General features: G+C 43.2%; 1 protein-coding gene and 1 long non-coding RNA gene across 13 annotated transcripts in view, besides 2 other annotated features; one reads left to right on the top strand and one right to left on the bottom strand.

Annotated features, from left to right (window-relative positions):
* Nucleotides 1-10,445, top strand: part of CASK (calcium/calmodulin dependent serine protein kinase) — a 408,621-nt gene extending 398,176 nt beyond the window's left edge. For all 12 annotated transcript variants that reach the window (NM_001126055.3, NM_001410745.1, NM_001126054.3 and 9 more), the window contains 2 exons: nt 1,345-1,428; nt 4,783-10,445. In NM_001126055.3, coding sequence (NP_001119527.1) covers nt 1,345-1,428; nt 4,783-4,959 — 261 coding nt within the window. In that variant the 3' untranslated portion in view covers nt 4,960-10,445. The remainder of the gene's footprint in view (nt 1-1,344; nt 1,429-4,782) is intronic.
* On the bottom strand, nt 3,043-7,617 carry CASK-AS1 (CASK antisense RNA 1). The gene is made up of 2 exons (NR_046581.1): nt 5,013-7,617; nt 3,043-3,226 (listed from the first exon to the last, which is right to left on the bottom strand). It is a non-coding gene; the product is annotated as a CASK antisense RNA 1 (long non-coding RNA).
* Nucleotides 8,061-8,562: an enhancer, noted in NCBI's record as "NANOG hESC enhancer chrX:41376070-41376571 (GRCh37/hg19 assembly coordinates)". NCBI's record gives its function as "activates a minimal SCP1, AML or CMV promoter by ChIP-STARR-seq in primed H9 embryonic stem cells {active_cell/tissue: H9 hESC(primed)}" and the evidence as "EXISTENCE:reporter gene assay evidence [ECO:0000049][PMID:30033119]".
* Nucleotides 12,660-12,759: an enhancer, noted in NCBI's record as "active region_29560". NCBI's record gives its function as "activates an Ori minimal core promoter by ATAC-STARR-seq in GM12878 lymphoblastoid cells {active_cell/tissue: GM12878}" and the evidence as "EXISTENCE:reporter gene assay evidence [ECO:0000049][PMID:35858748]".

The raw sequence follows: 21,970 nt of genomic DNA, 5'->3' as shown, positions 1-21,970 counted from the left end.
AGTAAATCAAAAGGCCAGGAAGCCAGAGAGAGTCTGGCCCTTTCTGGAACTGAAAGTAGTTCAGGAAGGCTGGTCCATGGAGCCAAAGGAGCAGAGAGAAAGGCTGAAGAGGTTAAGCATAGGCATGCTTGTGAGGGAGAGAGGTGACATTCATGCTGAGGAGTATACATTTTATCCTGAGGCCAAGAGGGAACTGTTGAATTCTGAGCAGGGGAGCCATGGGTTTTGAATTTCAGAAAGATCATTCCAGTAGCAGGGTAGAGTATGGATTGGAAAGCAGCAAAACCAGAGGCAGGGCAACCAGTCTAATTACTATTACAATAAGCTGGGCAAAAGATGGAGCAATAGGAATAGCGTGAAGCAAGCAAATTTAAAGACCATTTAGAGAGCAAAATATGTGGGGAGCAGGATAGTTAAATTCTTGTGTAAGTGACAGCAAGATATTTACCCCAGCGCATATGAATTAATCACATGTCAGTCACTTGTGAATTGGGTACCTGTATGTGTTGGGTTTTGTTCCTTGGAAGGGAGTTTGTAACCTCCAAGATAATCATATCCTCCTGGGGAGGAGCTGAAACAGTAATCCCTTAGCAGAATCAACTCCCACAGCGTCTGACTGCAGCGTTGCAGTATATCTATCCAAACTAGTAGCTGGCATTTAGAGGTTTTCAATGCCTTAGAAGGGAACTGAAAGGGATCTCAGAGGCCCTTCTGTCTTGAGTGCAGCATTTTCTCATGGGCCTATACATTGCCCACAGCCACACAGTGTCTTTAGCGACAGGACTAAGACACAAAGTCTAGGGCTCCTAACTCCAGCCCTGGGCAAGGTTCCCCCTTCCCCAGGAGTCCCAGGGGGCTTTTCTGCAGAGCAACACACAGTTACAGTGGACAGATTTGCTAGCAATCCTTGGCTAGCAATTTGAAATTTGAAATGTGAGGGAGTGGCCTCCAGATTAGTGGTAAAACCAGCCGGCAGGTCCAAGTCTCCCCTTAAATGCATTTCCTGTTGATTAAAATTCAGGCTAAAACTAATAGCCAGGTTTAAATGAACATTAACCAACATAATCAGTGTTAACTTTTATGAAGAAAAATAGATTGATTCATGAGTCATAAGAAAAATGTCCAGTTTGCCAACTTTTATTTTCTGATGGCTATTGTCCATCCTTTAGAAAAAAAGTAATATAAGTTATGTATAAAGTTGGTAAATTTAATAATACCTTGCCAAAAATTTGAGCCAAGAGCTTGGAATTTTCAGTTGTATAAAAATTTTTATAGACTCATTTGAAAGTTACATTAGTTATTTCTTCTTTTAAGTCGGGATTTTTTTTTTTTTTCTTAACACAGGCACTGAAGGTCCTGAGAACTGCAGAGTTTGCTCCTTTTGTTGTTTTCATTGCTGCACCAACTATTACTCCAGGTTTAAATGAGGTAAGAATCAATCTGTTTTTCCCCAAATAAGCTGTAAGGATCAAGCCTTACTCCCCAGCACAGTCAGAAGCGTGTCAGTCTACATTTGCAGCAAGGCTGCTCTGATGAAATGGGATGTGGAATAGAATGCTACATGGGACAGTCTTATCAGTAAGCTGACTTCTAAAATCTGAGGACAAACACCCTCACTCCCACCAGGACCGAGGCATCCCAGGTGTCTCACAACCTCCAGGGCTGCCAGCCTATTCCCTCTCCGGATAGGGATTGTGTGGCCCCTGGAGTGGAACCTTTGTGGAATTTCTCTCCAGGCCCCTGAAGACTACCAAACCTAGAAATCAGCTCTGTCCACTGTCAAGCCAGCTCAAGTCAGAAACTGCCACAGACATGGTGCTCATGAGACTTGGCTGCTGACTTAGAAGGTTTTCCATTGCTGAGCAGATCAAAGGGTACTTACCATGTGTCTGCTAAGTGTAGCAGTGCCTATCTTCTGTAGGTTCCTTAGTTAAGGGGAGACTCTTATACCAAGTTATCCTGAAGACCATTGCTTTCACAGCTTCTAGAAATCATCAGAGGACTCTTGATTGACTCTGTTCAGTCAACACTGACCTAAACTCACTCAAGCTTAAAATCTAATTAAATCATGGCTTGGAAATTTTCCCTTTGTGTACCTTTAAGGAAGATTCAGGATTTTGATTTACCTATGTTACTCATATTTTCCGTCATTATGTTTTTGTCATTTCATCTGCAAGAGGTATATTCCTTTGTAAAATTCTACCTTCCCATCTTATTTAATACATAAGCATGTTTGAAACTCCACATTGTGGTTAGCTTTTATCCTTCAGTTGCCATGTATTTTTCTTGAATCATCATCTTTGCTTTGTTTTTGTTTTGCCTGTTTTCCTGCCCTTTTACTAATTTTCCATAGCTGCCAAAATGGTGCAGAAAATTGCCTGTAAGTACCAGCTAGGAGGTGGTGAAATACAGCCGTGTTTCTTTTAATAGATTTAGAATGTAGACACTTTGTTCCCACAAATCCTTGCTTTTGCTGTTAGAATAAAGGCATTTTGTTTTCACTGAGTTAAACCCTGCTCACGTGTGAGTCAAGCACACAGACAAGCTGTTGTCGAGGAAGAGACTGACAAATATAGCTTCGTCTTAAAAGATTCTTAAGAGGGAGCTTTATTTTTCTGTAAAGAGACCTACATTAAAAATGTGATACTTTCAGCCATAAATTTTCTTGAATATTTTCATCAGCCCAGCTTGCTGAGCAAATCATAAACCCTGCTAGTGGTTTTTGAAGCTCAGGACTATATATTCAAATAGAATCCCGTGTGCCAGAGAGTGATGTTGTAGGAATTGTTCCTTTTCATCCTGGTAGGAAGCACTCCTGTCTTTGGGTGAATGCACATTTGCTAAAATGGCGTTTTTTGCATTGTGTTGATTATGAAGTAAAGCCACAGTGAAAATACTATGCTTTTTAAGTGCAAGCCGAACTAGAAGGTGATGATTAACTGGGGTCTTATCTACACTGTAGTACTTAACACTAACATTCAAAGCATGCCCTGTCCTGCTTTGAAATGCCAGTAAAAGAGGACAAAACAGGTAGGACATTCTTGGTTCAGAGTGCCCTGAGAGAAAAGATTGAGTTCCTGTCTGCTGTGGTGTCTGCGCATGCCCACTGCAGTGCCAGGACAGAATCAAGCAAGTCTCTTTATCTCACTTCTAGTCCCCTTTCTTGAGAGCTGTACCCAGAGAGCTGAGGCTTGCCTGGACCTCCCAGCAGCCTCCCAGGAAAGGTCTCTTGCCAATAACAGAGGGGCTTTAGAGAAGAGGAGAGGAGGGGAGGGGCCCTAAGCCAGTACTGGGTACTACGGCTCCTAGGTCCTTGAAGGTACCGCATCTTTTATTTTCTCTGGAGATCTGTCTCTGTCACCCAGGGCCCCAATTTCCTGGAAGAATTGCTCAGTCTCTTGATTTTAGATTTAATACTTGTAAAACCCTATAATGACTGGCACTAGTCAGACAAGTGCTTGTTCTTTTGACAGCATTTATTAAGCACTTACTATGTGTAAGGCACTATGCCTAATGCTGGGGCACAGCAATTACAGGGCACACAAGACAAGTTTATGCCCTAGCTGGAGACATAGCCACTAATCAAATAAAGAGGTATTTCGTTATCTCTATGTATATTTAAGACTCAGCCCAAGAGCTCACCCACCTAGTGTTTGGCAGGTAGGGGGTGGTTAATTTGACTCACAAAGTTCCCTAGTGTCAAGGTTGAACTTGCCCTTTGGGAGTTCAGCATGACAAATATGACTTGCGAAGATATAGAGGCAGACTTCTTTCTGGTGGCTCTTAAGAGACCCCTGTCTTGAAAGAACTGCCACTCTGTAGCAGAAGCTATACTTGCATGACAAAGCTGGGACCCTAAACTCCCTCCTCCTGTTGGATCCCTCTTACAAGAGTTCTTAAAATCTGTGGCAAGCTGCAGCTTAGGGAACATCCTTTGTTGCAGCAAACCTCCCTAGAGTTCAGTACTCCCTAGAGTTCTCTTCCTTCTGTTTTTTTCATAAGAGATATGAGGACCTACGAACAGTGACATTTGTCTAGCCACTTCTAATGCAGACCAATTTGGGGGGATTCATCAGATGCCAGGTGCTGTTTATTGGGGAAACAGCCTTATTCCAGCCATTATTTGTAACACTCAAAGATCTTTTGCCTCTGGCATCAGCTGCTATTGAGTGAGGGCCATTATATGTAATTGAATTCCTAGAACGTGTGGCACCTTTAAGTAGAAGAGGAAAAAATACAACTTAATTTGTCATCCAAGGGCAGGGACTTGTTGGTGCAAACACAGCTGGGCCCTGAGGCCTGGCTCCAGTGAGTGTGGAGGACCAAGGGGACGGGGGCAAAGAGCTCCAGCCTTGCCACCGTAGCCCTCTCGCCAATTGGGAGAGTGGCTTGAGGCTAGGGCGGGGGGCTTCCTGCTGGCCTGTTTGGGCCACCATAGCCACTGTAACCCACACCTGGCATGGCCCTACCAAGCCTGACTCTGGGGACAGGCACAGCTAGGCCTGAGTGGGGGTGGCATGTTTCCTGAAGAGTATCTGTTTTCTCTGGTTCGTCTGCTTTGTCATGGACCCTCTGTTGCATGTTGAGCAATCACTGTCTCCTCTGTCATGGAGCGGACTTGGCCTCATGCTGGCATATGGCATATCAGGGTCTGGCCTTGACTGTTTCTGACACTGGGATGAACAAAAATGTGAAAAGAGAACGAATCCAACTGATTTCTCTCTTCTGTTTGCTTTTCCCTCCTCTCATGCCCACCCCTACCTCCATCTCATCACCATTTAGGATGAATCTCTTCAGCGTCTGCAGAAGGAGTCTGACATCTTACAGAGAACATATGCACACTACTTCGATCTCACAATTATCAACAATGAAATTGATGAGACAATCAGACATCTGGAGGAAGCTGTTGAGCTCGTGTGCACAGCCCCACAGTGGGTCCCTGTCTCCTGGGTCTATTAGGCCTCTCCCCAGATATCTGAGCATAACTGGGAGCACCTCATTTGTGGAAAAGCCTCTTTGTTATCGGCCTTGTGTCAGCAGGTCATGGTCCCTAGAGACTACCTAGTTGTAGTGTGACCTACATTTATAATTATTGTCATGTCCGAATAGATAGGAGGAGAAAAACAATTACACACTAATTTAAAGAGACAGTATCTTTTTTAATCAGTTCTCCTAAACTTTAATAAAATGTATCTTTAAATGTATGTATTATTCAATCCTTTGGAATGTTATATTTTTGGAAATCATAGCTTTTTATTTCCAAGGCCCCTAAAAACTGCACAAAATAGATGCTGCTTTCTATAATCTATTTTAATAATAATAAACAATGATTCTGTTACCTTGACTGGGGGTGGAACACTACATTCTTTTTAGAGTCTGATTTTATGGATTGGAATATTGGGATATCTTTCTTTCCTTTATTTATTTGAAATAATTAGTGTAGTGATTACAAAACAGTCATAAATTTTTAAAGGCCTTTTTTCTCTCTTTTTTTTTTTTTAGAATAGTATTTTTTTTTAAGTCCTTTATGTAACATCCAGATAATGTGATACTGTCTCTTTGAAGCACCCTGTAAACCTTTTAGAGATTTGAAGTTGGGTCTTGACTCTTAATGCATGTGGACAGTCGCGAGCGTTTATGCTGTCGGTGTGTCTGTGTTGGACAAAACAATCTGTAATCTACAGCAAAGTACATTCTACATTCCGTTCATGGGGCACACCCAGGGGAATAAGAATAAAATGCTATTATGACTAAGTTGTAAACCTATGCACATCCCTTGCATTTTGGGCAACTTTATAAAAAAAAAGAAACTGATTTTTATTAATAATAATCATGTAGTGAAATGTGTTTGTAATTTTGTCTCAATTTAATTTGTTGTAAGGTGGGGTGGGGGGAATTGCTGGTTTCACCATTTCAGATCTGTGTTGTCTAAGAGTATTAACGTTTTAATTAAGCAAAGAAATGATTTTTAATCTGTATGTAATTGTTTTAAAGCACCCATTTTAAGAGAAAATACTGTGCAATGAAGAAACCAGTTTAGGCATTTGCTATAAACTGAAATATTCCAAAAGAATCATCTATAACAGCCCTGTAAATTCCTTTAAAATGATAACTAACAGGACAGTTTGACCAATTTTTTTTAAATATACTTCCTTTTATGTGTTCAATAATTAAATGCCTTTGGGTCCTTCATTTCATTATAGATTTGTTCAGGCTTCCAAGCTGATAATCTTTACAATTGTATAATTTGTTAGATGCTCATTGAACCTTTGAAGGCCCAGGAGTGAGTATCAGTTGGCAGGGTGACAAAGTAGCCTGCCAGAGCACAGCTGGACCACGTCTGACTCGCACAGAGCCATGCGCCCAAGGGCCACGGGTGTACTGGAGGCCACCTGTGGTCTCTCCTTCCTCTTGCTGTATCCCTTGGCACAGGGGAATCATCTGTCCTTGTTGCTTTAGAGACATTAACCATCTCATAACTCTTCCATGAAGTCACATTCTTCCAATACAGGAGATTCGGGCTGGGGTTCTCAGACTCTTTGCCAGAGGTCAGTAGAATGTTTTTCATTAGCATGTGAGGGTGTGAAGTGCTTATATTAACCTGTGATCCTTGAAAACATACCATCATTTTTTGCTTCTTGTAGGTTAGATGGCCTTGTCACTTTGTGCCTTGGCAGGATGTGCAGGGTGTGTTCTGAGCTGAACAGCTCCTCTTAAAGGACCAAACAGAGAAGGCATTAGTATACTTCTTTTACATTGTCAACACCATACCCGCCTCCGCCCCCCACCGCCTATTATTAAATGGTGGCGATTTTTTTTTTTCTGATGTTGTTCTTTGCCAGTGACCAGATGAGTCTGCAACTTACTAACAAGGTATTGAGTGAACTACTTCTGTATGGGCCCCACAGTGGGGTGACCAAGCCACCAAACCAGAGATAAGCTCAACAGTGGTCTCACACTAGATAGAGAGAGAAACCTTCAAAGAGTTGGGTAGGGCTGTGTTAGAACTGATTCGAATCTGATAGATGCCAAGGCCAGACAGTCGTTCCTGGTATGGTACTGACCACAATTTCGGGCTCTTAGTGTGAAGGTGCGCACTCTACCTCTTTTCTGGTGAAGCACAAAGACAACTACAACTAACACATGGGAAACAGAAACTTCCCTCCCTCTAGTGGAAACCCCCACGCCCCCACTTGCCCTTTGAGCCCACATCTCCAGAGATGCTGATGATGCCTGTCTTAAGCCATCTGCCATATTTATAAAGGTGGATTAAGCAGAGGAGGAGAAAAGCAATGCCAACTTAAATGTCTGTGGCCCCACAATTCACAAGCACTGTAGCACTCATCCTCAGTGGCTTTATACGTCCTCTGAGAAGCACACAGGCAGGCATCATTCTTGCCATCATTCCGATGGTGAAATCCCTGCATGCAGAACTCATTGACTTCTCAAAGATGTTACCTGTTCCATTCCACTAATACATGTCTTCTCTAAAGCAGTGTCTTTATGACCTAGCTGCATATACTTACATTTCTGAATTCAGAGTAATTTCAGTACATTGCTGCTGCTGCTGCTGCTGCTGCTGCTGCTGCTGCTGCTGCTGCTGCTGCTACTGCTACATTACAATTGTCCACTAAGCAATCAGAGAAAATTGCTAAAAGCTTCTTTACTGCTTCCATTCCATCAGCAGAACCTTTTTTTTTCTTTCTTTCTTTTAAAGACCAGAATGAATGTTTAGAGTACTAAATCTTATTAGTGGTCAATTGAAGTATTGGAGAGCCACATTTTGAAGGTTCTCTCCCCCACCCAACTCCATTCCCCACAGCAAGAAAGGGAGTGTTTTTATATGTTGAATTCTTTGTTAAAAAGATGAAATGTCCTGATTTTCCAGTCACAAGACAGTAATTACTTTGCACATACAGCATATCCCATTTTAATGCTAAAAAGGGAAATGTCACTCAATTTAATTCATCTGGAAGTTTCCCAGTGTCAAGATAACATTGTAGCCTTTTTAAATGCAATTAAATGTATCTCTTGTCAGGTGAGATGATTTAAAATCTTTGCTCAGAGAGGAAAACAAATGGTTGACCTACTTCTTGCTATTTGCATTCAGAAGGCATCGTCCCAGCCCATCCTATTGGTGGCAGAATATCTAAAGATGTCGCAAAGTCCCCCACTGCAGTAGAAATGCAGGAGGTGTTCCTGTTCCCCGTCCAATTCCTTCTTAGGCTGCTAGAGACAGCCAGTGGGCCAAGCCTTCCCCTGTGCTCCAGGCAGGCCTGGGCTGCAGCTACTGTTACCTTTTTACAGCCTTTGATCTGATCGCTGCAGAGTTCTTTTGTTTTTAAATCACTTGTATTTGTCTCTTCATTAAGGCTTCAAGTTTATTTCTTGAAAAAGTTTAGTCAATTGAACCACCCTCCAGGAAGATTCCCAGCGTGGAAACTGCCCCTGAAAAACAAGGCAGCCCAAAGCCAGCTCTCTTTTGTCCCCCACTGATGTCATGTCCTTTTTTTTTTTCATTTCAGGCCAGTTTCTTAACTTGGGGCAAAGAGAATGTGTTGCTAAAGCTACCAAGAAAACTGCTTGATTAACAAATTCTTAATAGAAATGCCTCCCACACTGTCTCTTTGAAAAGAGAAGGCACCTTGGAATCGGCATTCCAAAACCAAGCTCCTTGTCATCCTCATCCCTCCTCCTTCTTGCTTCCTATTATCAAACTCGTGTGTGTTTCTTGTTTTCTCAGAACTGAACACAGCCTCCTAATTCCATCCTCTTGACTAGGGCTTACAATACTGAGAGCGATTACAGGCTGTAATAAGTTAAAGGTCCCTGAGCGTGGCTTTCTTGTTCTGCGCCTCTAATTAATTCTTCTATTAAAAGATGCTTTCCTTCTCACTGCAGCTTACAGAAAGGCTACAAGCTTTAATCACAGATCATTTCATTTGCCAGAGCCTTTCCTTTTCTAACTCCTTTAGAAATAAGATTTCCCTCTCTGTTTGGAATCTCTGGATACAGGACTCTCCTCCAAGCTCATGGCTTGATTGGCTTTGCCTGTGCACACACACATCAGTTTGCCTTAAACTTGGAGCTATGGGGAGTCCCAGATTTTCCAGCTTAGTGGGTGAAGTTTAGCTGTCACCTACATCCAGGAAGTGGGGGAAAAGGGAAAAAAAGAGGATATTCACCACCATGTTCCCATCCGGTCTTTCCCCTGCCTTGCTTTGTGCAGCAGGTGGGCAGACAGAGCCCACAGAAACAGAAGTAGAAAGAGGGCCGCACCATCTCTGGGGCCAGCACTCCTAAGTCTTAGCTCTTTGTGGGAATAGAAAATCCTGAGCTCCCACCACCTCTCGTCTGACCCTCCATCAACTCCCTCGAACCTGTGCAAATGGACTGAGCAAAAGAAAATGGAAAGAGATGTTTGTCACCACACAGGAGACCTCCTTTCTGGCCCCAAGCACAACTCCATCTCTGCGTATGCTCAGAAACTCAGAATTTAGCTGCTACTTATGTGTTAGCTCCATTCTCTCTGGTGTGTGACTGAGAGAACACGCCAGTGTTCTTACTGACAGAGGCTTAGGGGTGACCCTCTCTGGACCCAGAGGAAGTACAACCTCTGTAGCGAGAATTGTCCTTGGGAACAGAAACAGGCATTCCTCCACAGTGAGTGGCTCCCCCTATTTTTTTTTTATTTGGAAGAGACCAAGAATTGGGGGAATTGATTTCCAGTCTTAGCTGTTTCCCGGAATGTCATCTGTGCAGGCAGGTAGGCGGCTGCCGGGTGCAGCAGGCAGCGTGACTGATGTGAAGGCCGCCCAATCCTCACGTGCTAAGACCCGAGTATCGTGTTTAATTGCAGTGTAGGCACGTCGCCATTCAAACTCAGTTCTGGGGTGGTTTTGCATAAAGTTTTGCCAACGTGTTCTTTTTTCTGTATGTATTATTGCCTTTTTATAAAAGGTGTTGAAGTATTGTCTCAGTGATAAAAAGAGAGAGATGTTAATGGTTGTTGTATATTTCACCGTATCCAATTGTAAGTATTTGCAGGGTACAGCAGAGCCTTAGCTTGCAAGAGCGTTTGTGCAGGAGGTGTCCCTCAACACCCAGGAGCTGAAGGGATTGGAAAGGTTTGGATTCTTTGTAAATGTCCTGCTTTTCTTTCTCTCTGTGTGTATCTATTTACATGCCTTAGCACACGCCCTCCCATCCTGATCCCTTTGCCCTGTCGCCGGAACAACCAGAATGCTGGTGCGCTGCCGGCACAGTACAAGTTGATGAAACCCTAATCAGTTATCTTGTGTGACAGGGGAAGAAGAGAAACTCCATAGTATTCCTTGTAGAATATACATACCTGTAGGATGCTGTGTAATGGGAAACCATAGAATTGGGCTTTTGTCATTTCAAAGTTGGAGAAATGTATGAATAAAATGTATAAAACATGAAAAGGCAGTTGTCTCCTCAGATTGCAGGCCAAACAGCTTGGGGACAAACAACAGAGGGTTAAAAGAAGAGGGATGGCCTGATTTCTAAAGGCCTCTGCAGAGTTCATCCACACAGTTAGGCCTCAGACACCTTCCCACAATGGTTGGGGTGGGGTGGGGGTGTTGCAGAGGGACAGCTCCTGGCCCTGTAAAGGAGCACGACCCAGGCTCCTGGTGCCCATCCTGCAGGTTTCAGTCTTCAGCCATGGCTGTTAACAGACGGCATCCTGCAAGCAGTTCCAGCTCAGTTGCTTGCATTTGGATGCAGGCTTAAAATAGCTTCATCTTAAAAAAAAAAGAAAAAAGAAAAAGTCTAAGTTGTGACATCTCCTAGAAATAGAAGTCTAAATTGATTTCGGTGGTGTAGGTGCCACAGCATGGAAAATGTGGCCCTTGGTTGACATTTGCATCAAGAGCCGTGGGAGGACGCCTGCTCCAGGACTGCCGCTCCGCCCAGTGCCTTTGTGATTTCATGGTTTGATTTGGTCTCTGGCTGGAGTCTGGGACATGCTTCCTGGCGTGCCTCACTAACCTGGTTTACACACGATTCCTTCCCTGCCCTTGCCCTACGCTTTGCCCAAGCAAGGAACCATGGTGGCTTCAGAGACAACACTTGTATGTGTCACACACACCCTAGAAAGAGCCCAGGCCTGAATGAGCTTACCTGGCTCACTTTCAGAAGACACATACGAAGGAAACATAAACTACCAGTGATTATTTGCTTTACTCAAATAAATATCACGCTACAAAAATTGTATAGAAGAGTTTAGGCCACATTCAGACCCAAAATTTGAGCCCCTGGCCTTTTAGTTCAGAAAATCCTGTTACCTTTGTACAGACTTCTTACCCTAGATATACAGAGGACGGAAAGCAAAATGCTACCATTAAGCTCATTTTTTGAACTTCATGGTATTTAAAACACATCCAACATGGTAATATTAAGCTGGTCGAAAAATATAAACATGTCTTTTCTGTGTTTTTGCCCAATTTGCTATAACATGATAAACTGAAGAAATAACACTAGGGATCATTCCATGAACCGCTATGAACAGCACATCATGCAGAAAGAATGCAATGAGATTGGTGCAGGGTAATAGACAGAGTTCAAGGTCACTGAAGGTTGCAAGTCCCATGAAAGGTCAGTGTTGTAGTGCAAGTAAGCCACCCAGCCACTAAAGGAAGGGATGCTCTGGGAGAGAATGTTCCAGAAAGTGGTATGTGACTTTAACAACAAGTGAGCACACACACAAGGCATGGGGCCTGCAGATAAAATCCCATGGCTGTGGCACTGTCGGAAATACTGCACCCACCACACGTATTCCCTAATCTCCTCACCCATCATTACCTTTGAAGCCAGGTGCAGTGGCTGTCTCCTGTAATCCCAGCACTTTGGGAGGCCAAGGCGGGTGGATCACTTGAGGTCAGGAGTTCGAGACCAGCCTGGCCAACATGGTGAAACCCCGTCTCTACTAAAAATACAAACATTAGCTGGGCGTGGTGGCGCGTGCCTGTAATCCCAACCACTCAGGAGGCTGAAGCAGGAGAATCCCTTGAACCCGGGAGGCAGAGGTTGCAGTGAGCCGAGATTGTGCCACTGCACTCCAGCCTGGGTGACAGAGCAAGACTCCATCTCAAAAAAAAATTAAAAAATAAACCTTTCAGGCGGTGGTGCCCAGAAATGTTTTTGCCATAGATGCATTCTTAGGCAGGATCTTGAAAAGCTTCAATCTACTGCTGTTGCCCTCTTCGCTCCTCCAAAGGCAGCTTTATAACCCTCCCCCCATGGCCACTTGCCCTGCAGAGAATCTGGCTCCTTTCTGCCACCAGAATGGTCTGATGAACAACTTGAGAGTGACAGAGGGGGCAGCCTGCTGGGACCTCAAAAGTGGCTTCAGGCCGGGCACAGTGGCTCATGCCTGTAATCCCAGCACTTTGGAAGGCCAAGGCGGGCGGATCACCTGCGGTCAGGAGTTTGAGACCAGCCTGGCTAACATGGAGAAACCCTGTCTCTACTAAAAATGCAAAATTAGCCGGGTGTGGTGGCACATGCCTGTGATCCCAGCTACTCAGGAGGCTGAGGCAGGGGAATCGCTTGAACCCGGGAGGCGGAGGTTGCAGTGAGCGGAGATTGCACCACTGCACTCCAGCCTGGGTGACAAGAGGGAAACTCAGTCTCAAAAAAAAAAAAAAAAAAAAAAAAAGTGGCTTCGGGCCTGCAGGATGTTAAACTGAGGCCGGAGATGGGGAAATGGAGACCATGTACAAAGCAGGTGGCAGCAGCTTAGCCACACAGATCAACAGCTTACCACAGAATTTCCCTCAGAACTTTCTGGGGGTGGTGGAAATGTTCATTTCTTGTTTTCAGTGGTGGTTGCATGGGTGTATACAATGGTCAAAACACATCAGACTGAACACCTAGGATCTGTGCATTCTATTTTCTGTAAAATATGTCTCAGTTACAAAAAAGAAACAAGGAAAACCATGATCATCTTTGCAGCTGCCAAAAAAAAATCACTTCACAAAATTCAACACCCAGTTCTAATTTAAAAACAAACAAAAAACCCTTAAAAATAAGATAGGAAATATTCTTAGCATATACAGAATAACTGTTTCAACCCACAGCCAACATAATCCACCTAGAAGTGACAGAACAAAAGCAGTAAAATTGCCATTATTTAAAAATTAAATAACACGTGATCATCATAGAATGATTAGAAAATATGGATAAACAAACAAAAAAAAGGGAGATTCAACCACATTCTGCTATGCAGAGCCAACTGCTATAAACATATCTATGTATATCTGTCAGGCTAGCAGGCTAGTATAAATTTATGTATGTGTGTGTGTGTGTGTGTGTGTGTGTGTGTGTGTGTATATATATATGTTTTGCTTTTTGGTTTTTTTTTTCATTTTTGAGACAGGTTCTCACTCTGTTGCCCAGGCTGGAGTGCAGTAGCATAATCACAGCTCACTGTAGCCTCAACCTCCTGGACTTAAGTGACCCTCCCACCCCAGCCTCCCCAGTAGCTGGGACTACAGGCCTGTGCCACCACACCCAGCTAATTTTTGTATTTTTTGTAGAGATGGGGTTTCACCATGTCACCCAGGCTGGTCTCAAACTCCTGGGCTCAAGTAGTCTTCCCACCTGGGCCCCCCAAAGTGCTGGGATTACAGATGTGAGCCACACCTGGCCCTATACATATTTTTAATACAGTAAGAAAGTCATACTAAACACACTGTTCTATTACATAACATATCTTCCTCCATCATAATTATTTACTATTGCTTTTATTTATTTATCTTTTTAGGGTCCCACTCTGTCACCGAGTCTGCAGTGCAGTGGTGTGATCACAGCTCACTACAGCCTCAAACTCGGGCTCAAGGCATCCTCCCACCTCATCACCCCATGTAGCTGGGACTACAGGCACCACCATGCCCGGCTAATTTTTGTATTTTGTTATTATAGAGACGAGGTTTTGCCATGTTGCCCAGGCTGGTCTCAAACTCCTGGGCTCAAGCGATCTGCCAGTCTCAGACTCCCAAAATGCTACTATTGCTTTTAAAGCATTTCTCAACAACAGAACAGAGTATAACCATTGGAAAAGACACAAAATTGTCCATATTTGCTAATAATATCATTGTATACCTTGAAACACAAAAAAGGACAACCAGACAACAAGTAGCTGAGTTACAAAGCAGCTACTCGGGAGGCTGAGACAGAAAAATCACTTGAGCCCAGGAGGTGGAGGTTTCAGTGAGCTGAGATTGCGCCATTGCACTCCAGCCTGGGTGACAGAGCAAGACCCTGTCTCAAAAAATAAATAATAAATAAATAATAAAGAGCAGATACAAAAACACCCAGAAATCAATAGCATTCTTGTATATTCACAGTAAAGTTAGAAAATTAAATGGGGAAAGGATGCCATTCTCAAATGCAACAAGTGTTTTCAAACTAACAAATCCATGGGATCGATATGAGAAAAGGGCAAAGCTGCACTGAGAATATAAAAGATGCAAATAAACAGAGACATGTTTTTGGATGAAAGAATTAAATGTTTTAATGGCATCAGTTCTTTCCAAATTAATGTAGGCTTAATATAATACCAAATCAAATGCCACACAATGATTTTTCTGGGCCTTTATAAAATGACTGTTCATTGGCCGGGTGCGGTGGCTCACACCTGTAATCCCAGCACGTTGGGAGGCCGAGGCAGGCAGATCACGAGGTCAGGAGTTCGAGACCAGCCTGGCCAACGTGGTGAAACCCCATCTCTACTTAAAAAAAATACAAAAATAAGCCGGGTGTGGTGGGGCACACCTGTAATTCCAGCTGCTCAGGAGGCTGAGACAGGAGAATTGCTTGAACCCAGGTGGGGGAGGTTGCAGTTAGCCGAGATTGCACCACTGCACTCCAGCCTGGGTGACAGAGCAAGACTCGGTCTCAAAAAAAAAAAAAAAAAAAATTATATATATATATATATATATATATATATATATATATATATATATGTATACCAAAATTAGTTTCAGCCCAATTAAAGAGTTAAATATTAAAATTCAGTGCTAGAAAATGAAAACAAATAGAATGAGTAGTCAGTAAAACTCTGGAAGAGGGTAACTTTTTAACCTTATGCCGGAGAAAAAAGTCAGAAAGCAATTGAAAGATTTGACCCCATGAAACCATTACAGCATTTTTTTCTTTTCTTTTTTTTTGAGATGGAGTTTTGCTCTTGTTGCCCAGGCTGGAGTGCAGTGGCGTGATCTCGGCTCACTGCAACCTCCACCTTGTGGTTTCATGCAATTCTCCCACCTCAGCCTCCAGAGTAGCTGGGATTACAGGTGCCCACCATCACACCCGGCTAATTTTTGTATTTTTGTATTTTTAGTAGAGACGGGGTTTCACTATGTTGGCTAGGAATCTGATCTCAAACTCCTGACCTGGTGATCCGCCCACCTCGGCCTCCCAAAATGCTGGGATTACAGGCATAAGCCACCACGCCCGGCCAAAACCATTACAGCTTTGATATGAAAACTTGTAGACCACAAACAGAAAAGAAAGGCATTTTACAGCAAATATAATACACAAAGAGTTAATATATTTATTATGCAATGAAGACATAAAGTGGTTAAAAATGCTAACATTCCAACAAATGAACAAAGGACATGATGAACATTGCACAGACTATACAGAGAGCTACTATTAAAAACATTGAAAAATATCTCAATGATCAAGAAAATGTAAGTGACACAGTGGCTCGCGCCTGTAATTCTAGTACTTTGGGCAGCTGAGGCAGGTGAATTGCTTGAGCCCAGGAGTTCGAGACCAGCCTGGGCAACATGTCAAAACCCCATCTCTACAAAAAGTACAAAAATTAGCCAGGCGTGGTGGCATGCGCCTGTAGTCCCAGCTACTCAGAAGGCTGAGGCGGGAGGATCACCTGAACCCGGGAAGTGGAGGTTGCAGTGAGCTGAGATCCTGCCACTGCACTCCAGCCTGGGTGACAGAATGAGACTCCGTCTCAAAATAAATAAGTAAATTTAAAAAAAATTAAAATAATAAAGGCAAACAGTACATGGTGGCACACACCTGTGGTCCCAGCTACTCAGAAGGCTGAGGCAGGAGGATCACTTGAGCCCAGGAGGTCGAGGCTGTAGAGAGCCATGATTGCGCCACTGCACTCCAGCCTGGGTGACAACAAAACCCTGTCTCTAAATAAATAAATAAAAATAAAGGCAATCAAGCTGGGTGTGGTGGCTCACGCCTGTAATCCCAGCTAGACAGGAGGATCACTTGAGGCCAGGAGTTTGAGACCAGCCTGGGCGACATAGCAAACCCTGATTAAAAAATTTTTGTAAAAAGGCAATCAGTACCATTGACTGAGCCGTCACTCTGATGTTCCGGTCACTGAGTGCTTTGCATGCCTCAGCGTACCTCCACCCTGAGTCCTCTGACCTGAGGGCTCTTAACCATAAATATTACTAAATATCCCCAAATTTAAACAGTGCTTTATGATAGGATAATCAATGAAGTTTTTCTTTATTTTACAAGTCTACTTGTAATATTTTATTTATTTATTATTATTATTTATTTATTTATTTTGAAACAGAGTCTGACTCTGTCACCCAGGCTGGAGTGCAGTGGTGTGATCTCAGCTCACTGCAACCTCCGCCTCCTGGGTTCAAGTGATTCTCCTGCCTCAGCCTCCCGAGTAGCTGGGATTACAGGCGCCTGTCACTACGCCTGGCTAATTTTTGTATTTTTGGTAGAGGTGGGGTTTTGCAATGTTGGCCAGGCCGATATTGAATTCCTGGACTCAGGTGATCTGCCCGCCTTGGCCTCCCAAAGGGCTGGGATTACAGACCTGAGCCACCGTGCCCAGCCTCTGTACAGTTTTTAAAGTGAATCAACCTGAGCACTTCTTTTATGGCTGCCTGATGGGAGCGTAGCAGAGAGCATGGCCTGGGAATGGCTGACGCCAGCCACTCTCCGGGTCCGCTTTCACCATGTCACTAGGCCTGGCTGCCACCATCAGGAGCCTGGGAACATTTCTGCTTCCCTGCGAGGACACCCTTCTCTAGCCAGCCAGACCTGAGAACTGGGGGCTCACAGAGTGGCAAAGAGGAAAAGGGACGAAGTCAAAGGACACCTCATAGCAAGACATGAAATTCAGTCCGAATAATTTATTCATCCCAATAAGTGCTTTGGATTTCTGCCTAAGAACTCAAGCTGGCAATTTTCAGCTAAGTGAGCTACACAGCTTGTTCATCTAAACAAACTGCAGTGGCAGAGTTGTACTAGGCTGAAAAGCATAAACATCTTAAGGGCAGAGTTGTCCAATCAGAGAACAAAATATATTAGTGAGCTTAAGTGAAGTAGTGAACACAGTGTGCAGGGCCCTAGGAACAGAATAGAGATCCCAGAAACAGAGCCTGGGCGGATGAAAAACTGAAGATGACAAAGATGGGACTTCAGGCCGGGCACGGTGGCTCACGCCTGTAATCCCAGCACTTTGAGAGGCCAAGGCAGGCAGATCACCTGAAGTCAGGAGTTTGAGACCAGCCTGGCCAACGTGGTGAAACCCCGTCTCTACTAAAAACACAAAAAATTAGCTGGGCGTGGTGGTACACGCCTGTAATCCCAGCTACTCGGGAGGCCGAGACAGGAGAATCGCTTGAACCCAGGAGGCTGAGGTTGCATTGAGCTGAGATCGCATTATTGCACTCCAGAGCGAGAATTCATCTCAAAAAAAGAAAAGAAAAAGATGGGACTTCAGTGTAGTGGTGAAATCATGAACTCTTCAAGAATTATTCATATGGAAAAAATAAAATTAGATCCCTACCTCATGATACATAAAAAATAAAATTTTAGATGGCTGAAAGGTCTGTGAAAATCTTAAAATATTACATACACATACACACATACACATATACACACACATATTGGGCTATATATATATACATATATACATATACACATATATACATATATATACACATATATACATATATACACATATATATACATATATATACATATATACACACATATACATATATACATATATACACACATATACATATATACATATATACACACATATATATACATATATACATATATACACACATATATACATATATACACACATATATACACACATATATACATATATAATATATATACATATATACACATATATACATATATACACATATATACATATATATACACATATATACATATATACACATATATACATATATACACATATATATACATATATACACATATATACATATATACACACATATATATACACATATATATACACGTATATATACATATATACATATATATACATATATATACACAAAATGTATAAGTTATGAAAGAAAAGGATTGATAAAGTTGAATCTCTTGAAATTGAAAACTGAAAAGTTTATTTGCAAAAATCTGCATAAACAAGCTAGGTGCTCCCAGCACTTTGGGAGGCTGTGGCAGGAGAATGGCCTGAGTCCAGGAGTTTGAGGCTGTAGTGAACTATAGATTGCACCACTGCACTCCAGCCATGGCCACAGAGTGAGACCCTGTCTCTTAACCAAAAAAAAAAAAAAATTCCCATAAACAAACTAAAAAGATAAGCCACAGGCCTGGAGACACTAGCAGCACATGGAACTGCCATCCAGAACTTATAAAGAACTTCAAAAATTCACTTTTCTGGTGTGGTGGTACACGCCTGTAATCCCAGCTACTCGGGAGGCTCAGGCAGGAGGATCGCTTGAGCCCAGGAGTTCAAGACCCACCTGAGTGACATAGCAATACTCCATCTCCAAAATTAAAAAAATATATATATATATTTTATATTTCATGAATAGCACACTATGTAATTTGGACCCAATCCTCATTCTTAAGACAACTAAAGCAGCTGATGATTGAAATATTTAAAACATCTGTTTGGAAACTTTTGCAAACTAACAAGATAGTTTGGGCCAGGATCTGGGAGAAAATTGATGTCCAAGGGAGGGAGAGAGCACTGAAGGCCACTTCTCCTCAGGTGCCATTTGCCCACTCCAGAAGAGGCAGCCTAGAAGCCGACCAGCACAGGGGTTGGGGGAAGGAATTGGAGTCGGGTGTGTCTGCTGGAGTGAGAGGGGCTAGCGTACTTCTCTCACTTTCAGTGGGGACCCTGAAAGTTTGCCTCCTAGGAGGAAGGGTGAACCTCAAACCGGTCCTCACAGCAACTGCTCACCTTCAGATCTTCTCAAGCCCTGACATTTGATTGAAGTGATCCCAGCTTGGTTGTGTCCTGGGTGCTTCCCAGAAGAAAATGTCATTCATCCCTGGAGGAAGTTAACATACTCCTAGGCCTTAAATAATGTCTACAATTTAGCAGATACAATGTGACAAATGACACAAAATAATTAGGCACATGAGGAGAAAACAGGTAAATAGATGGATACATCTGTATAAACAAATAGCAATCAGATCTTTTGGGTTTTAAATATACATAGGATTAGGCCGGGCGCGGTGGCTCACGCCTGTAATCCCAGCACTTTGGGAAGCCGAGGTAGGTGGCTCACCTGAGGTCAGGAGTTCAAGACCAGCCTGGCCGACATGGTGAAACCCCGTCTCTACCAAAAACACAAAAATTAGCCGGGCATGGTGGCATGTGCCTGTAATCCCAGCTACTCGGGAGGCTGAGGCAGGAGAATCACTTGAACCAGGGAGGTGGAGGTTGCAGTGAGCTGAGATCGCACCACTGCATTCCAGCCTGGATGACAGAGGGAGACCCTGTCTCAAAAAATAAATAAATAAATAAATAAATAAATAAACATAGAATTAAAATACATGTCACACCTGTAATCCCAGCACTTTGGGAGGCCAAGCCAGGGGCATTGCTTGAGACCAGTAGTTCAAGACCAGCATGGGCAACATAGTGAGACACTGTCTCTACTAAAAATAATAAAATAAAATTAGCCAGGCACGGTGGCACACACCTATAGTCCCAGCTACTCAGGAGGCTGAGGTGGAAGGATTGCTTGAGCCCAGGAAGTCGGGGCTGCAGTGAGCCAAGATTGTGCCACTGCACTCCAGCTTGGGCAACAGAGTGAGACCCTGTCTCAAAAAAAAATTTTAAAAAGATTTAAAATACATGATAACTCTGACATATAAGTTGCAAAGGAGGTAAATAGAGTTAATATGTCTTAAAGTCTTTACATTGTCAAGGGAGAAGGGATTAGGATTAATTAATTTGGCAAGTCAAGGATGCAAGCTTAGAGCAACCACTAAAAGAAAAATGAGAATGTATAACTTCCAAGCTAAATTAAACAGGACACAAAAGCACAAACCATAAAGAAAGAGATTAATAAATTGGACTATTAAATTTGGGATGTTAAGAATTAAGATCTATTCATCAAAACATATAATAAAAAGCTGAAAAGGCAGCCTTGGCAACATAGTGAGATCCCGTCTCTACAAAAAATAAAATTAAGCAGGCATGGTTGTGTGTGTCTGTGGCCCCAGCTACTCAGGAGGCTAAGGCAGGAGGATTGCTTGAGCCCAGGAGGTCGAGGCTACAGTGAGCTGTGATCATGCCACTGCACTCTAGCCTGGGCCACAGAGCATGACCCTCTCTCAAAAAAAAAAAAAAAAGAAAGAAGATGAAGAAGAAGAAGCTGAAAAGGCAAACCACAGAATGGGCCTGGCATTTTTTGAACAACCTCTGAAATTTGGAATTTCCTACATTATAAGTAAATCTCAAAGTAGAAGCCACAGGCTCTCTTTCTCAGCTTCCCTTGCAGCTGACAACCAGGCATGTGTGTGATCTAGGTTCTGCCCCTGTAAGGCACCTGGATTCAGAAGAAAGCAACATGAGGAGTAAGTGTCCAATGAGGAGCTTTATAATCAGGATGGCAGTGGTGGCATCTGGCTGTCAGGGGCAGAGGTGACAGAGGTTCTGATTCCCATGCCCAGCAGCAGTGGCCATGGGGCTTCGCCGGAGGAACCCCTCAAGACAGTTTGGATTTTCTTTCTTTTTTTTTTTCTTCACTATTGAATGTCTGGTCCATGCCAGAATTCCTTTTTTTTTTTTCTTAAAGATGGAGTCTCACTATATTGCCCAGGTTGGTCTCAAACTCCTGGGCTCAACCTATTCTCCTACCTCAGCTTCCTGAGTAGCTGGGACTACAGGTGCAAGCCACCATGCCCAGCTCACCCCAGGATTCTTTGATCTACCCTAATAGTTTTTTAAATTCTAAATTTAAAAAATTAAACTTGAGATACTTTGAAACAAAAAAGTTCCAAATATAGGTGGGGCACAGTGGCTCACATCTGTAATCCCAGTACTTTGTGAGGCCGAGGCAGGAGGATTGTTTGAGGCTGAGAGTTCAAGACCAGCCTGGACAACACAGTAAGACCCTGTCTCCACAAAAATAAATGAATTTATTTTCTTTTTTTGAGATGGAGTTTCGCTCTTGTTGCCCAGGCTGGAGTGCAATGACGCTATCTTGGCTCATTGCAACCTCTGCCTCCCAGGTTCAAGCCATTCTCCTGCCTCAGCCTCCTGAGTAGCTGAGATTACAGGTGCACGCCACCATGCCTGGCTAATTTTTGTATTTTTAGTAGAGACGAGGTTTCACCATGTTGCTCAGGCTGGTATCAAACTCTTGAGCTCAGGTGATCCACCTGCCTCAGCCTCCCAAAGTGCTGGGATTACAGGCATAAGCCACTGTGCCCGGCCTGAATATTTTTTTAAAAAAAGAAAAGAGTTGCAAATATAGTACAAAGAATTTCCATATACTCAGACTCCCTAAATGCTAATATTTTATATAACAGTATAGGGCCAGGCATGGTGGTGCACACCTGTAATCCCAGCACTTTGGGAGGCCGGGGTCGGTGGATCAGGAGGTCAAGAGATCGAGACCATCCTGGCCAACATGGTGAAATGCCGTCTCTACTAAAAATACAAAAATTAGCTGGGCGTGGTGGT

Source organism: Homo sapiens, chromosome X (genome assembly GCF_000001405.40).
Source record: "Homo sapiens chromosome X, GRCh38.p14 Primary Assembly".
Lineage (NCBI taxonomy): Eukaryota > Metazoa > Chordata > Mammalia > Primates > Hominidae > Homo > Homo sapiens.
Note: the sequence above shows the minus strand (reverse complement) of the source record. Positions and strands in the feature narration are given on the sequence as shown.